Raw genomic sequence first — 17,580 nt, 5'->3', positions numbered from 1 at the left:
GAAAAGTTACAACCTTTATGGCTTGATAGCAGAACTCATTCTCCATCATTTTTCATTTTTTCATAGTCTTTTTTTTTTTTTAAGGGGCTCACTACATTACCCAGACAGGCTCAAGCAATCCTCCTACCTCAGCCTCCTGAGTAGCTGGGACTACAGGCTCACACCAATGCCCCCAACCATTTTGTCATAGTCTACTTGTTAGAAGGAAGTCACTGAGTATAGCCATTACCCAAGGAAAGGGAAATTAGGCTCCATCAAAGGGAGGAATATCTTAAAATTTGTGGGCAAATTTTAAAACCATCACAGCTGGCTCTGGGAGTACTTTTCTGACCAAGGTAGTATCATAACAGGTTTTATTCAAGTGTATATCTGGTTAGTCAAGAACTTAGTTCTCACTCACAAACTGGTTCTTAGAGCTGGGTAACTGTTGCTGTCTTATTCCCCCCTTGAAATATATTTAACAGTTATTAGGGAACTGGATGAAGAGGAATAATGTGAACATGTACATTAATTTATTCAGTAAACATTCACCAGATGTCACTCTGCAGAGATATAAAACAAACCACGGTCTATGTCTTTGAGGAATTTGTACTAGGGAAAATAGACAAAAAAAGAAAAGGAAAAATACAATACAGTGTGATAAATACTATGACAGTGGTAAGCACAGGATGATTTGGTACACAGAGAAGGGGCACCTAACCAAGACTAGGGACTTCAAGAAGTTAAGGAAACTTTCTGGAAGTGGTGACTCCTGGGCGAGGGCCCCCACCCACCACACAATTCAGACAAGAGCTTTGTGGCCCTGTGCAAGAAAGGACCTCATTATTCTTTTTACCTTACAGAATGTTGCTGAGGCACAGTGCATCGCCAACCAAGTTCAGCTCTTCTACGCTACTGATCGGAAAGAGACCTACGGGTTAGTGGAGACCTTTAACCTCAGACCAAATGAGTTCAAATATATGTCTGTCATCGCTGAATTGGAGCAAAGCGGACTTGGAGCAGAACTGAAATGTGCCCAGAACCAAAATAAGACTTAGAACTGTACAGGTTGGCCCTTCACCTAGTTGACTCAGCCCTCGATAGTCTAGAGCCCACCCCCTCCTCAGGAACTCAAGAGCTCAGCATTTATAATGAGCAGTTGGTAATGAGTTGCCCTATGTGCTTGTCGCAAGCAGTCACAGAGATGAGCCCTATTACTTGATATTCAGGAACAAAGGTACCTGAACATTCTGATAATTATCTCAGCATACTTGAGGTTTCCTTTTTTAAGTGTTCGAGGTTATAACAAGAGACAGCCAAGGACCTACAAGACAGTTGACTTGATTTTGCACAGTGTAACAGCGCAGTTGCATTCTGGCCACTTTGACCTTATAGCTCCCAAATGATGAGTTTGTCATCTTTATGAACTCATGACAGGATAATAAGCTTGAAGACCTGCTGTAGTTAGATATGGGCTTTAATCCTTCCCAGGCACCAGTCAGCTGAACAAAAGCATAAGCCAAACATCCTGTTTAAACTGTAGAATAACCAGATATTCCCATCAGGTTAAAGACTTCATCTAGATGATGCCCCCCAGAGATGCCTTTAGTGTAAGTAGCTGGCTTGGGGTATCAGCAAATTTCAGGTATAGTTAGATAAACAGGTACAGGGCCTGCATACTATTAAACCATAGTTTGTGGCACCCGCTTTTCTAACTCCACCTGTTAGAAGCTATGTGTTTGAAGGAATGAATCAGTGCAGTATAAATAAAATTCTTTTGTAAGGAGAAGATTAATCCTGGTTTGCATGATTTTTTTAAAAACAACTCTAAACATGATACGAAAAAGTGGATGAAAGCAAATGTTCCCAGATTGGATGTGGGGAAAATATAGCAATAATTTTTTTTTTAAGTCTGGCTTACAATGTTTGTTATACAAAATAATGAAATCTGAGTTATGTACTGTCCATTGTGTCAGGGCTATGGGCTGATTTTATCAAAACTCATCTTGGGACTGAAAAATTGTTTGGAATGCCAGAAATAAGAAAGTTGTTCTCCAGAGCTGGAAACCCATCTTTCGTTTGTAGTGTCACTGTTGTGGCTCCAAGCTCAGTGATAGGAAAGGACGGTGGTTACACACCAGCCTTCTGAACCCAAGGCCCCCAGTATTGTTGTCAGCTGCCTTTACCATGGCATTTCTTTCTCTTTCTTTTTTTCCTGAGATGAAGTCTTGCTCTGTCTTGCCCAGGCTGGAGTACAGTAGCGTGATCTCAGCTCGCTGCAACCTCTACCTCCCTGGTTCAAGTGATTCTGCTGCGTCAGCCTCCTGAGGAGCTAGGATTACAGGCGCATGCCACCATACCTGGCTTATTTTTGTATTGTTGTAGAGACAGGGTTTCACTTTGTTGGCCAGGCTGGCTGGTCTCGAACTCCTGGCCTCAAGTGATCCACCACCTTGGCCTCCCAAAGTGCTGGGATTACAGGTGTGAGCCACCGTGCCTGGCCTGACATTTCTTTATTGATCTAACATGCTCCACTCTGCTGCTCCTGCCTAAGATCTGGTTATATGACACTGAATGTGGTGAGTGGGAATTTAAGCAGTATTCGCAGTTTGTGTGTGTGTGTTTTCTTCCTTCCAGAAGAATTTTTATAGGTTGGGCCTGTCCCTAAGCTCTTTAAATAGGGTGGACATCCCACTATTCTCTGAGCCGTGTCTATTTTGTTGCACCTTTGAGTCTATGTATTGAGAGAGACAGATAGTATTTTTTTAAACTGGGGAAGCTGCTATCCTTTCACTATTTCTCTAAAGGTTGAGCTGTTAACTAATGTAAATTCTGGACCTGCTTCTGGTCCTGGCAGTTTATCTTTTGAGAAACTTGAGTCTTATCTGCCCTGCCATTTTCATTAAATGCCTTCTGACCTTCTGAATGTTTTGGGTCCCAAGAATTTTTGACATCAGATGGGGTTGTTTTTATTGGTATCCAGTTATGTTTGCTTGTCTTTCCAGATGGGCCCAGTTATTAGCCATACATAGTACATTGATACACCTCCACCAGCGGGTGAGGAAATGATGGAAAAAGGAGTAAGAAGTGGCCATTCGTTTTAATCATTCCTCCTGGATTTGTCCTCAGTCCCCAACTGCCAAGTAGGATGTGTCCATGGATAAATGTGTGGGGCATGACTAAAGTACCACGTAGCTGTTCTTTATATTTATTTACCTAGAAAGATCTGGCAAAGAACTCAAAGAAAATTGTACCATTTAATCAGTAAATTTGTCCCCTGGTGCTAGCATGGTGTTATAGAAAGTGGACAGGCTTTAGAGTTAAGTGAATCTGGGTTCATATGTTAGTGTTGCTATTCATTAGCTCTATACTGTTGAACAAATTGCTTAAACTATCTAATTTTGGGGTTTTTTTTCCATCTAAAATAGGGATAATAATATCTACCTCATAGGATTATTGTGAGAATTAAATTAACTTCACTATAGTAGAAAATATCAACTACCATCCTTTTCTCTACTTCCCTTGCCCCTCATTAAAGACTAATACAAGTTAGCATTTCAGATGTGTAGATCATTCTTTATTCCAGTTAAAAGAACAAACTTTATCTCATCAGTTCTGAAACTTTAAGATGCAGTAGCATCACCTAAAGTGCTTTTAAAATGCAGATTCTCAGGCCTCAACCGTACACCACCCCCCCACACACGTACTAAATCAAGAATATGTGCAGAAGGTACTGGGAATCTACTTGTTAATATGTGCTCCAAATGATTCTGATGTAGGTAATTAGCCAGCCACACTTTGAGAACCACTGCCTTATCTATTCTTTACAAAAATGTACATTGCCAGGTCTTTCTTTCCTGTGGATGCTAACTATAGGATATTTAGGTTCCTCTGTTCTTTGTCTCCCATAGTGGCCCCCTTTGCAAACTCCAAATACATTATATTTATTTATTCTTGTGTCTTTTTTCCCCCACTAGACTGTGAGCTCCTTGAGGGCCAGGACTTATCTCTGTTCGCAGTGCCAAGGACATGGCCTGGACCATAGAAGATACTCAGTTTTTTGTTGAATAAATAGGTAATATGGATTTCAACCAAAACATTGTCTTGTGTATGTACCTGCATGTAAATACTCTAGATTTAAAAGAATCTCTTAATACACATAGATCGAGAATTTGTTGAGTAGAAATATTTGCAAACCAAGATACCAAGTTATACACAGTTCTCTGTACCTCACCTAATCCACTGGCATTACCTTGGTGGACCATTACACAGTACAACTTAACAGCTGCTCACAGAGCATCTATTCTGCAGCCACTATGTTAAGTGCTGGACACAGAAAGATGAGTAGAGTATGATTCCTGCTCGCAGGCTCTGTTTTAGCCACTGCCTGTTTCTCTCTTGCCTCTGATTCAGTGCCTCACACCTACACCTGATTATAGTTTGCTTTGTCTAGTTCTTGGATGTTCATACTGGTACTTCTTTCTTCTCCAACCAGTTTGGAAGCTGGAGCCACATGTTTTGCTTTGCACTCTCCATACTGACCTTTTGTTCAGTCTTGGAGAAGAGGTACTAATGCCCACTTCCTAGTCATTTGATTTGGCATTGAGTCAGCATTCATTCACACTTATTGAGCACCTTTTTGCCAAGCACTGTTATAAAAAACTGGATAATATAGCAATGAACATGGCAAATAAGGCTCCTGTTCTCATGTAGTTTATATTCTTGTAAAGAAGACAAGTAAATCAATAAAATTATTTTACATACTGGTAGTGCTATGAAAATTTAAAAATAATATTTTAGACTATGGAGTGGAGGCAATAACTTAATGGTCAGGAGAGGCATCTCTGCAGCAGTGGCAGCTGATACATGAGCTGGGGAAAGAGAACCAGGTAAAGAGAACAGCAAGTGTTAACGCCCCGGAGCAGAGCCAAGCTAGGAATGCTTGTTTCTGGACAAATATAAAGATTCAGTATCTACCCTTTAGGAGCCTACAGTTCAGCGGCATGACCTGACATGAATGATTACAATACAAGACAAACTGATCAATGCCGTCTCAGAAGGGGCAAAGAGAGTTAAGGAACTCCCCCCGCATGCTATGGAGGATGCAAAGCTTGCCAGGCTCTGGTACCCACCCATGAAGCACTTATGGCTTAATGGGGAATAACAGGTAGACAGTGTTAAAGTCTCAAAGGCTATATGTTTCTTGCAATAGACAAGAGGTACTGTGGGTTCAGTGCTGGCCTCCCAAGCTACAGTCACGTACTACATAACAATGTTTTGGTCACGTTAGATTGCATATGCAACTGTGGTCCCATAAGATTATAATGGAGCTGAAAAATTCCTATTGCCTAGTGACATCATAGCTGTGGTAATGTTATAGCACAATGCATTATGTGTTTGTGGTGATGCTGGTGTAAATCTACTACACCAGCATAGTGTATAGGGGTATAGGGTATAAAAGTATAGTGTACAGGGGCCGGGTACGGTGGCTCACGCCTGTAATCCCAGCACTTTGGAAGGCCGAGGCAGGTGGATCCCTTGAGTTTAGAAGTTCAAAACCAGCCTGGACAGCATAGCGAGACCTTGTCTCTACAAAAAAAATTTAAAAATTAACTGAGCGTGGTGGTGCACGCCTGTAGTCCCAGCTACTCAGGAGGCTAAGGTGGGAGGATCACTTGAGCCCGGGAGGTTGAGGCTACAGTGAGCTGGGATCACACTGCTGCACTCCGGCCTGGGCCACAGAGCAAGACCCTATCTCAAAAAATAAAAAGGTATAGTGCATAAAACTATGTACAGTACATAATGCTTGATAGTAAATGACTATTACTGGTTTATGTATTTACTGTATTATTTAGAGTGTGCTCCTTCTACGTATAAAAAATACTAAGTCAATTGTAAAACAGCCTCAGGCAGGTCTCTCAGGAGTTGTTCCAGAAGAGGGCATTGTTCTTATAGGAGAGGACAGCTCCATGTGTGTTATTGCCCCTGAAGACCTTCCAGTGGGACAAGATGTGCAGGTGGAAGTCAGTAATGTTGATGATCCTGACCCTGTGTAGGCCTAGGCTAATGTACATGTTTGTGTCTTAGCTTTTAACCAAAACATTTAAAAAGTAAAAAATAAAATTTTTTAAAGAAAAAAGCTTACAGAATAAAGATAGAAAATATTTTATACAGCTATACAGTGTGTTTTAAGCTAAGTGCAATTATAAAATAGTCAAAAGTTTTAAAAATTAAAAAGTTTATAAAGTTAAAAAGTTATAGTAAGCTAAGGTTATTGAAAAAAGAAAAATATTTTTATAAATTTAGTGTACAGTGTTTATAAAGCCTACTGTAGTGTACAGTAATGTCCTCCTCAGTCTTCATATTCACTCAGAACTCACTCACTGACTCATCCAGAACAACTTCCAGTCCTGCAGGCTCCATTCATTGTAAGTGTCCTATACAGCAATATCATTTTTTATCTTATACTGTATTTTTACTGTACCTTTTCTATGTTTAGATACGATAGATAAGTATTTACCCTTATATTACAGTGTCCACAGTATTCAGCACAGTAACATGCTGTACAGGTTTGCAGCCTAGGAGCAATAGGCTATATGCCATCTAGGTTTGTATAAATACATCCTATGATGTTTGCACAACAACCAAATCACCTAATGATACATTTCTCAATGTAGTCTCCATTGTTAAGCAACACTTGACTATATACACATTAACAATAACCACTAACATTTACTAAGGGCTAACCATATACCAGGCACTGTGCTAAGCCCTTACATGGATTATCTCAATCCTACCAACCCTATGAGGTTGGCAGGAACCTGCTGGTCAGTGACATGTGCTGCTCTCTCCTTGTACCCTCATGCCCCAACTCCAGCTCAGAAAAGAGAGCAACCAGCCAGGCACAGTGGCTCATGCCTGTAATCCCAACACTTTGGGAGGCCAAGGTGGGCCGATCGCTTGAGACCAGGAGTTAGAGACCAGCCTGCTCAACATAACGAAACCCCCTCTCTACTAAAAATACAAAAATTAGCTGGATGTGGTGGCACACACCTGTAATCCCAGCTACTCAGGCTGAGGTACGAGAATCACTTGAACCTGGGAGGTGGAGGTTGCTGTGAGCCCAGATTGTGCCACTGCACTCCAGCCTGGGTGACAGAATGAGACCCTGTCTCAAAAAAAAAAAAAAAAAAAAGTAAGTCATGGTTGGCTCTGGAACCAGCCCTGAGAAACATGTCTCCCAATTTTCTTGCTGGTAACTAAAGAACAAAATGCATGCATTATATACCTCTGATTCCTCCAGACAATTTTGCAAGACATCATGTTCTAACTAGGGAAGACTTCCTTCGGAGAACTTTGGTCTTGTCAATTCTTCTGATGTGACAGGTTGATAACAACATCTTTATCCTTGTTCTGCTAAAAGGGAGAGTAGGAGCACAGAAAGGGAAGAGATGACTTCAAGGTTGCTGTCTGCATCAGGAGCCAACCCAGGAATAATAATAAGTGTGTCCATGCTCCACACTTAATAGGATCATTTGTAATGTCCACTGAGCAGGCTCATTCTTCACATTCACTTGAACAGGGCTACTTCTACGCTCTTCAGGCTTTAGGAACTGGAATATCTACAAGAAAAATTGGTTCAAACCACTTAAGAATCATTACAGGTTCCCTAGGGCTTTCTGGACAAAGTCCTTTTAGATCAGCTCACAGGAGCTTCAGGATCCAGTGCATGGTGTCTTTTCCAGGCTCATTTTGTGCCTCTCCTACCTACTCCTTTGGCTCCAGCCATTCTGGATAACTTGCAGTTCCCTAAACACATTGTGCTCTTCCTACCTCTGTTCTGCTCTTTTCTAATACATTTGCCTGCTTCAAATGCCCATTCCTCCTTAAGTTAATTCAAAGCTTCACTGTAGTATCCCTATGAGAAGCCTTCCCTGAGACCTATTCCCCTCCACATGGCCCCCCTGCAAGGCTGGCTTCCCCACCAGAATGAATAGCCCTTGGAGACTGGGATCATATCTTACTGGACATTATATTCCAAGTGTCCAGCACGAAACCCGGCAGAGGGATAAGATACTCTGTGGATGCTGAACAAACTCCGTTTGAGTGACCACTAAACTCAGACCACCTGAGCCTACAAACATCGCTTGCACAGTGAGATCCAGCTCTGGCAAACACATTGTGGTTATGTCCCAGCCCAAGACAGTGGTCATTTTGCTTGCTCTTATTGCAGAGGCTGCATATGGAAAACCAAGCCAAGGGACCAACAGAGAAGGCAGTCAGGTCCAGGGTTTGTAAGCAGAAAGAACTGAGAGATGATGATGTGAACAAACTTTTGGAGCAAAACAATTATTTTAAGTACCAGGCTGGCACTTTCAAGTTCTTGTCTTGCCTTGCCAAACCTTAACATTAAAAAAGACCTGGTTGGGTTGGTGGCTTACGCCTGTAATCCCAGCACTTTGGGAGGCCGAGGCAGGCAGATCACGAGGTCAGGAGATCAAGACCATCCTGGCTAACATGGTGAAACCCCGTCTCTACTAAAAATACAAAAAAATTAGCCAGGTGTGGTGGCAGGCACCTGTAGTCCCAGCTACTCGGGAGGCTGAGGCAGGAGAATGGCGTGAACCCAGGAGGTGGAGCTTGCAGTGAGCGGAGATTGCACCACTGCACTCCAACCTGGGGGATAAAGCGAGACTCGTCTCCAAAAAAAAAAAAAAGACCTTACAGGCTGGGCGCGGTGGCTCATGCCTGTAATTCTAGCACAAGGCGGGCAGATCACCTGAAGTCAGGAGTTCGAGACCAGCGTGGCCAACATGGTGAAACCCCATCTCTACTAAAAATACAAAAATTAGCCAGGCATGGTGACAGGGGCCTGTAATCCCAGCTACTCAGGAGGCTGAGGCAGGAGAACTGCTTGAACCCGGGAGGCAGAGGTTGCAGTGAGCCAAGATCGCGCCACTGCACTCCAGCCTGGGCGACAGAGTGAGACTCGGTCTCAAAAAAAAAAAAAGGGTGGGGGGTGGGCGGCCGAGAGCAGTGGCTCACAGCTGTAATCCCAGCACTTTGGGAGGCCAAGGTGGGCAAATCACAAGGTCAGGCGATCAAGACCATCCTGGCCAACATGGTGAAACCCTGTCTCTACTAAAAATACAAAAATTAGCTGGGCATGGTGGCACATGCCTATAATCCCAGCTACTCGAGAGGCTGAGGCAGGAGACTAGCTTGAGCCAGGGAGTCGGAGGTTGCAGTGAGCCGAAGCCTGGCGACAGAGCAAGACTCCATCTCAAAAAAAAAAAGAAAAGGCCTTACAGACTATCCAGTCACCAGTTTTCAAACTGTGCTTCAAGAAATCCCCAAAGTCCAGAGATGGGGACCTTGGGATTCTGACCCCCAACTCAACCAGAGAATCTGTGTTTTATTTACTGGGCTTCTCATAAGCTGTCATCTGAAAAAACAGTTTTCAAGAAAGACTGAAAAAAAAAAACCTGGTCTAGTCTAATTCTCCCGCCCACCATTGTAGGCCTCCCTACAGCACCACTAAGCCATTGGACAACTGTTTAAAATCTTCCTGGGGACTGGGAACTCTCTACCTGCTAACTGACCTGCACCATGCTGAGGCAGCTCTGGGTGAGCCAGTTCTTCCCCACCCCTAGCCAAAATCTGGCCTCTTCTCACTACCCTCACCTCCTTCTGCCTGCTGTAGATGGAAACTCCCAGGAGAGTCTTCACTTTTCTACCTAACCACCTCTCCTGCTGATAAGCAAAGATAACTCTCAAGTTGCTTTGGCATCTCTTCAGCAGAACCGTCTGTCTTTAGTTATATTACCCAAAACCCCAGCCCCTCACCCTCTGGCTCACCTGCATCTGGACAGACTAGCCAGTGTCACCAGTGTCTGCCTCACAGTTGGGGCCTGGAGTTGAGCCCAAGATGCCCTTGTGGGGTAATCAGAGTGGATTCTGGGTGGCCATCCCTTGGGAGTTGGCATGGCCCACCTGGAAGTCATTTCCCCCCATAGCCACTTACTAAAGTCATCTCACTGACTCCACCTTTCCTGGCCCTCGTCCTTACTCCCACCTTGCTATCTTCCCATAATCTGTTGTCAAACATTGCTTTTCCTGCCTAGAACTTTAGTCCTTTGGACCGCCACACATAGCCCCATTTCATCTGGCTGGTTTCAGTCCAGTGCTCCCATCACATCTGGACTTGAATCTTCACTGTATTGCCCAGAACCCATGTCCCTCCTAACAGATGTGATATTCACGTTACCTTGGTCCCCTTCTACATCTGCCATGGCAGTAACCATAGCTTAGTGGTATCCTCTCAAGATCTTCATTTACCCAAAAAATATTTGCCATGGTTTGAAACAATCACTACTGGGTCCTGCTTGATATGTGGTCCACTGTGACCCCACATCATGTTTGTTACTGCTATTGTTCCCACACTCACAATATGGTATGGATCCCCATCTTGCACTCTCATTTCTTCAACCCACATTCAATCTCCCATTTTGACCTTGCCTCTGGTCAGGTAAGAAGTAGCAGACATATCTTACATTTTGGCACTAATTTTGCAGGGGAAGAGAGGGAGCAGAGAGGTATTTTGCTGAATCTCACTTGTTGTGTGACCCCCAGAAGACTCCCTGAGATGCCTAAGTTTCTTTCATTTGATCTTTGAACAATACCTTAAAAAGTAATATTATTCCTTTTTTTCTTTTTCTTTCTCTTTTTTTTTTTTTGGACAGAGTCTCACTCTTGTTGCCCAAGCTGGAGTGCAGTGGCGCGATCTCAGCTCACTGCAACCTCCGCCTCCTGGTTCAAGGGATTCTCCTGCCTCGGCCTCCAGAGTAGCTGGGACTACAGATGTGTGCCACCACGCCCAGCTAACTTTTTGTATTTTTAGTAGAGATGGGGTTTCGCCATGTTGGCCAGGCTGGTCTCGAACTCCTGACCTCTGGTGATCAGCCCGCCCCGGCCTCCCAAAGTGCTGGGATTACAGGCATGAGCCACCACACCTGGCCAATATTATTCCTGTTTTACAGATGAGGACACTGGGGAAACACCATCATAGATGTGAAGAGTCAAGACTAAATTAGAATCCCAGTTCTGCCTTTCGTTCACTGTCTGGCCTTAGACAAGTTATTCAATCTCTCTGAGCCTTTGTGTTCTCATCTGTAAATAAAATAATAATGGCCCTATCTCAAAATATAAGAAAGGATTAAATGATGTAGCAAACACAGAGTGCTTAGCACTATAATGAAAGTGCAAAACAGTAGCTGGTTAAGTACCTTTTCAAGATGCACATCTATACAGAGGAGGAGGAATTTCTGTTTCTGGAACATAAATCTTCTCCTAGAACATAGACCTTTCATTTCTAGAACATGTTTCTTTTGTACTATTTTTCTACACCATGTTTTGTTTTCAGAAAATCTCTTCCGGGAATTTAGAGAGGCTTGAGCAGTGGTAATCATACCAGACCAGGGGACAGGCATCAGGAATCTGGGAGGTGGGCAGGTGAGCAGGCAGACCCAAAGCCTGGCAGCTAACATCTAGGTCGGAAACCAGGTAACGTCTGGAGTTTTGGGCCAAGGTGCAGGCCTGCCTGATTATTCGTAGATGGCTTATCTGAGACAAAGTTATTCCTGGTTACAGATGTCTATGTATTTAGTTCCTTGGCAACTCATTAAACATAACTGTTTATAGTTTAAAGAGACCAAATCCATGTAACCTTGTCATTTTCCTACCCGACTGGGCATCAGAAACACCTGATGCACTTGTCAGAGCTGTCCATTCTTGAGCTTCACCATTGAGATATAGATTCTGTTGGCCTGGGGTGGGGCCTGAGAAAATATTAGGCTGGTGCAAAAGTAATTACAGTTTTTGCCATTTATGTCAAAAATGCAATTACTTTTCCACCAACTTAATATTTTTCTTTTCTTTAACTCTCCAGGTAATTCTGAAACTCAGCCTGATTTGGGAGCCCCTGCAATAAGTTTTTACTTTTACTTTGCACCTGAGGAAAAAGGCTCCAACCCAGGTGAAGTGACTTCCCCAAGGTCACACAGGGTATCAGTAGCAGCATTCCTTCTATCTCTTTGTTCCAAATTTTCTTTGCACTTCAGTCCAAGGCAACCCAACTGAAAAATATCTGAAAAAGACAAGGATTTTTATTATTGTCTGCCTCTAGTAAAGATTCCTTGGATGAGACTAGCTGTTCCCAGCATGCCATTAGATAAGACCTCTATGGGGCAAGAGAGGAAAGCCTTCCCAGATGCCTGGACTTCAGATGTTTTCCTTGTTTGATGTTGAAAGCTGAGAATTTCCCTGGCTCATGACCCCTGGAAACAAATGCTGGATTATCTGTTGCGCTGGATTATCTGTGCCTGGCCCCTGCAGCTGCATAGAGAATTGTGTGTTGCCTGCACAGACTGAAGCTCTCCATCCATCCTGCGTGCATTTTGTACTCGCCTGTGGTGAGTGAGCAGAGGGGGATGATATATGGAAAGCCAGGCAGGCAGCAGTGGCAGGGGAGGGGGGTTGAGGGGAATGAGGGATTGATGGGAACTCAACTACAGAGCTCAGTTGGGAAACTCACACCCCATTGGAGCTGGGATTGATTGCTGGAACTTTCTCACCCTTCTCAGTTTGTCTCAGAGCCAGCAGCTTGCACTGTGTCCTCTGGGCACCCCTGTGGAGAGGGAATTGTTCTCAAGGTCAGGGAAGCTTGGGTCTCTCAGTGATGGTCTACCTCATGCCCTCTTCCCAGAGGCAGGCAACTCTGCACTCTAGAAGCCGAGTGACCTTCAGACAGCCTTCTGTTTCCTAAACCCCTTTCTTCTGTCTGTACTTGGCCTCCTTCTTATCTCTTTTTCAACTCTCAGCTCACACTAAATGACTTCCTCCCTTGGGTGCTATCTGTAGAATGTGTGGAATATGACCTGCCCCAGCAGATTTTGCAAGGGTATCAAAAGAGTGAGTGAGAAGTCTAAGGTGGTGTCAAGGTTACTGAGGATGGTCAATGTACTTAATGCTGCCAATTGCTTTAACATGGATCCAGGCACAGATGTCTTCATTATCATCTACTTTCCCAGGAGAGCATTTTTTAGAAAGTGTCTAGCCCCAATTCAAACTGACTTGTTCTTTGCCTAACTTACTAACAGTATATTTGCTAAGTGCTCAGGCAGTGTCAGGCAGAAGGATAGACCCTGTGACTGGAGCTGGGAGACCTGTTTTTGAGTCTCAGCTCTGCTTGCTTGCTTGCTTGCTTGCTTGCTTGCTTGCTTGCTTGCTTGCTTGCTTTTTAAAGACAAAAGTCTTGTTCTGTCACCTAGGCTAGAGTGCTTTGGAACAGTCTTGGCTCACTGCAACCTCCGCCTCCCAGGCTCAAACAATCCTCCTGCCTCAGCCTCCTGAATAGCTGAGACCATGGGCATGCACCACCGCACCTGGCTAATTTTTGTATTTTCTTAGTAGAGATGGGGTTTCGCCATGTTGCCCAGGCTGGTCTCTAACTCCTGAGCTCAAGCAATCTGCCACCTCAGCCTCCCAAAGTGCTAGGATTACAGGCATGAGCCACCCCACCCGGCCCTGCTCTGCCATTTCAAGCTGTGCTTCTTGGCCAAGTCATTTCACCTTTTGGAGCCAATACTCACATTCCAAGGTTGTTACAGGGCTCAAAAATGACCAGAGTAGGCCGGGCACGGTGGCTCACGCATGTAATCCCAGCACTTTGGGAGGCTGAGGCGGAAAGATCACCTGAGGTCAGGAGTTCAAGACCAGCCTGGCCAACAATGGCGAAACCCTGTCTCTACAAAAATTAGCTGGGCGTGATGGTGTGTGCCTGTAATCCCAGCTACTCAGGAGGCTGAGGAAGGAGAATCACTTGAACCTGGGAGGCGGAGGTTGCAGTAAGCCGAGATCACGCCATTGTACTCCAGCCTAGGTGACAGAGCGAGACTCCATCTCAAAAAAAAAAAGAGTAGTAAAAGCACTTTGTAAACCAGAACATTCCTTACAACTGTCAGTTGCTGCTACAAGGTAACATGGGAGGAGGCAAAATAAATAAAAACCCAATTCTAAGGGCTTATAGTCCAAAAGGGAAGACACAACCTCCATGGGCTTAACCAAGGAGTGCATCTGCAAACCACTGAGAACTTTTTGTGTCAAGGGCTCCCCCCTGAGGAGGGTTGGTTCCAGGCAGCTGGTGTAATTTAGGAAAACTTCCTGGGAAAGCCAAGAGCATACCCTTAGTCTGCTTAGCCTTAGGCAAAGCGGAGCTCCTACAGCTACTTCTTGAAAAGGCCCCAAATGCAATTTGATGACATTCTGCAGGAAGTCACAAGCTGTACTTGTGTGGAATCCAGACTCTACGGGGTGCAGCATGAGTCTCCAATAAGAAGTGGACTCCACCCACTGAATTGCTGCTTCCCGCTGCAGCAGACACAGCTCTCCCATCTCCTGGACATGAAGCCAAGATGGGACCCAAAGAGAGCTGCAGTGTAGAGTTTGGAACGTCATCTAAACACGGCCAATCCCTTCTCTCTACTTAGTGGAACTTTCTTTCCAGCCCCTCCGTCCCTCTCTGAAGGGAAGAACAACTTAAAAGCTCTAGAAAGATAAACCTCCCTCTCTCCCAGGGTTGCTGAGAAGAAGAAATGAGAATATGCCTCTCAGGGAGAGGCATACGTAAGGTTCACTGAATGGTTTTTATTGTCATGATTCATCATTGGGCTGATCTCTTCCTCTCCCTATGTCTCAGTTTTCCACATACTTCGAGGAGATTAGACTAAATGATATCCAAGAACCTTTCCCTTTTACAAGCCACTCCTCCCTGACCTGTTGTTCAATAATATTCCTTTGTAGCCAGTGGGACTCGTGGGCCCAGTGGAAGTTCCTTAGAAGACCGAGGCCTTTGTCACCACCCACAAAGCAAGGGGAAGGTCTGCAACTGGCCAACACAGTGCCTGACATCTAACGGGCCCTCAGTAAATACTTGTGGAATGTAAGAATGAATGAACAAATAGAAGAAATTGATGTGTTTTCACACCACCATAATAGTTGAAATCATAATTTACTACCATTATTTTATTTTTTTTCTTTTTGAGACAGAGTCTCGCTGTATCACTCAAGCTGGATCTCGGCTCACTGCAACATCTGCCTCCTGGGTTCAAGCGATTCTCCTGCTTCAGCCTCCTGAGTAGCTGGTATTACAGGTGCAAGCCACCATGCCCGGCTAATTTTTGTGTTTTTAGTAGAGGCAGGGTTTTGCCATGTTGGCCAAGCTGGTCTCAAACTCCTGACCTCTTATGATTCGCCCGCCTTGGCCTCCCAAAGTGCTGGGATTACAGGCATGAGTCACTGCGCCCAGCCATAATTTACTACCATTATTGCTAAAAGATAACACCCAGCTCTCTGGGGACCATAAGAAACCCCCATCCCTGCTGGCAACTCTGAGGCAGGGAGGCAGGTGTTACTGAACACACTTGGAGAAAGGATGCTGTGCTGTGGAGGAAGGAGGAGGGTGCATCCAGACTGGGGCAATCTGAGGGCTTTCTATAGAAGAGCTTTGAACTAAGTGGGGGTTGCTCCAGGCGGCAGCCCCAGAGGCTGACATGGAGGCACCCCAGCAGCAGAGAAGGGGCTAGGTTGGACAGAATTTCCTGGGCAGCCTTCATAGTGGGTTCCATGGAAAGCTGAGCCTGGAACACTGGTGAAACCACCCCTCCCCCACAACTATCACCTCCACTCGTGGGGCACCCCAGGCTGGGAACTAACCCAAGTGGTTGGAGGGGACAATGCCTACTGGGGCCATGTTGAGGGTGAGGTCTGAGGGCTGTGAAATTGTCTTCAGGCACTTATACACACTAGGCTTCCACCCAGCCTCCAGAGGTCTCCTTCCCAAGATGGAAGAGATGAGAGGAATGCCTCTACCTTAAGGGGAGATGGCTGGGAAGGAGGAGGAGCTTGGAGCAGAGAACACTGGAGCCTGAGGTTCTTAGAGGCAAGACGGCCCTCCCCGTCTCTGGAGGGACTGAAACCCTCTGAAGTCCATGTCACCCGGGACTGGTAACTTCTGCTTGCACCACTCCCTCTTGAGAGAACAGCACAGCCATCCCGGCTGCATGGTTGGACAGCTCTGATGTGCCAAGCGCCCCTTCATATTGTCCTGGGTGTCTGCCCACTGCTCTCCAGGACCCTGGAACAAGCTCAGTCCCTCTTCCACACAAACACCTGCTGGGTGTTTGAAGGCAGTACCCCTGAAACAGACTGACCACAGCCTTCTACTGTTTACAAGTGCTATCACATTTGATTCTCTCAGCTCTTCTGTGGGGCAGATGTTGTTGTTGTTGTCTTTACTTTAGAGAAGGTGAAATAGGCTCAGAGAACAAGTGCCTTGTCCATGGTCACACAGAATTTTAGTGCATGTCCTTGTCAACCTTGTCTTCCCCTGCCATCTTCCCTTGAACCTTGTCTTCTTCAAGTGAAAGGAAGTTTAACCTCAATTCCTCTGACTGCCGTAAGGGTGCCCATGGCATTCTCCTCAATGGGCCAGGATGGAAAATCCAGGACGGATGATCCTGCCTCCTGGGCAGGGAGGGGCAGAAGCTGAAATGGAAACTCTTTCTTGGGAGAGAGTGAGTAGAGGGTGGGCCCTATCAGGCTATAGTAGCTGCCAGACATCTGGTAAGGTGAACTGAGGGTGCAGTATCTTATTCTGGGGGGCAGGGTGGGAGTGGGGGAGCTTTCTTGGCATAGGAAGGGCTGGGGAGTCCCCAGGAAGTGGCCACTCTGTATCAGTAGAGTCACTGGATACAGGCCTACAGCGGGAAGGCACAGGAAGCTGGTTCTGATAAGGTACTTGGAGTGGTACTTCGTATGGCTAGAAGATGCTTTCATGGTAGAGGTGTAGAAACTAAGGCCCAGAGAGGGGCAAGGGCTTTCCCAAAGGCACACAGCAGGTAGACACCACCCTGCTGCCACTCAGAGTTCCCACTGCGAGGGGGGCATGTGCCCAGGCTGAGTAGTGGAAAAGGGCACGTCCTCTCCTAGGTCCTCACTGGCTCACGCCAAGCTTCAGAGATGAGCCTTGTTTGAAGTCTTCTGGAGCCATTTATCATACTCAAGACACAGTGGCAGGGAACAGAGCCCATCTTGTGTAGGTCTCCAGTGCTGGAGGGTTACAGTGTCTCATCAGAGAGGGCAGAACCATCCCAAGGCCACACAGCTAAATTACGGTAAAGCCAGGACACTGTTCTCCAAGGTCTGGGTCTTTTCAGCCCCAGCAGAGCCTCCTAGAAGAACTAGTCTCTCTAACCAAGACTGAGAAGGGCAGGAAGAGGGTACAGGTAGTTGAGAGATCTGGGCTCTCTCGCTTCCCCCAACCCTTCCACCTGCCTCCCATCCCACAGACACCCAGGGACTCTGAGGATGAGCTGGGAATTTCTGATGTTCCTTCAAAATGGATCATCTCTATTTCCCACAGTGTAAGGTTCTGTGCTGTTCACTCTTCACCAGAAAAACTCCTGCCTATCCTGTAAAACCCAGCTCAGAGGTCCAGAAAATGACCCTGCACAAAGCCTCTGCAGAGGAAGTCACATCAAATTC

At 45.4% G+C, this 17,580-nt stretch overlaps 1 protein-coding gene and 1 long non-coding RNA gene across 6 annotated transcripts in view; both read left to right on the top strand.

Moving 5' to 3' along the window:
* The window catches only part of ATPAF1 (ATP synthase mitochondrial F1 complex assembly factor 1), a 35,821-nt gene extending 31,745 nt beyond the window's left edge, over positions 1 to 4,076 (top strand). For 3 of the 5 annotated variants that reach the window (NM_001042546.2, NM_001243728.1, NM_001256418.1), the window contains one exon: positions 843 to 1,774. In NM_001042546.2, coding sequence (NP_001036011.2) covers positions 843 to 1,037 — 195 coding nt within the window. In that variant the 3' untranslated portion in view covers positions 1,038 to 1,774. Of the gene's footprint in view, positions 1 to 842 lie in introns of all 5 variants that reach the window. The other 2 variants (NM_022745.6, NM_001394565.1) reach the window with 1 other exon arrangement.
* Positions 4,077 to 10,991: 6,915 nt separating this feature from the next.
* LOC105378697 (uncharacterized) lies at positions 10,992 to 15,118 on the top strand. Its single transcript, XR_947297.2, has 3 exons — positions 10,992 to 12,449; positions 14,839 to 14,977; positions 15,085 to 15,118. It is a non-coding gene; the product is annotated as an uncharacterized LOC105378697 (long non-coding RNA).

The sequence above is a fragment of the Homo sapiens genome, chromosome 1, assembly GCF_000001405.40.
Source record: "Homo sapiens chromosome 1, GRCh38.p14 Primary Assembly".
In the NCBI taxonomy this organism is placed as follows: Eukaryota; Metazoa; Chordata; class Mammalia; order Primates; family Hominidae; genus Homo; species Homo sapiens.
The sequence above is the reverse complement of the archived record's forward strand: the minus strand, read 5'-3'. Positions and strand labels throughout refer to the sequence as shown.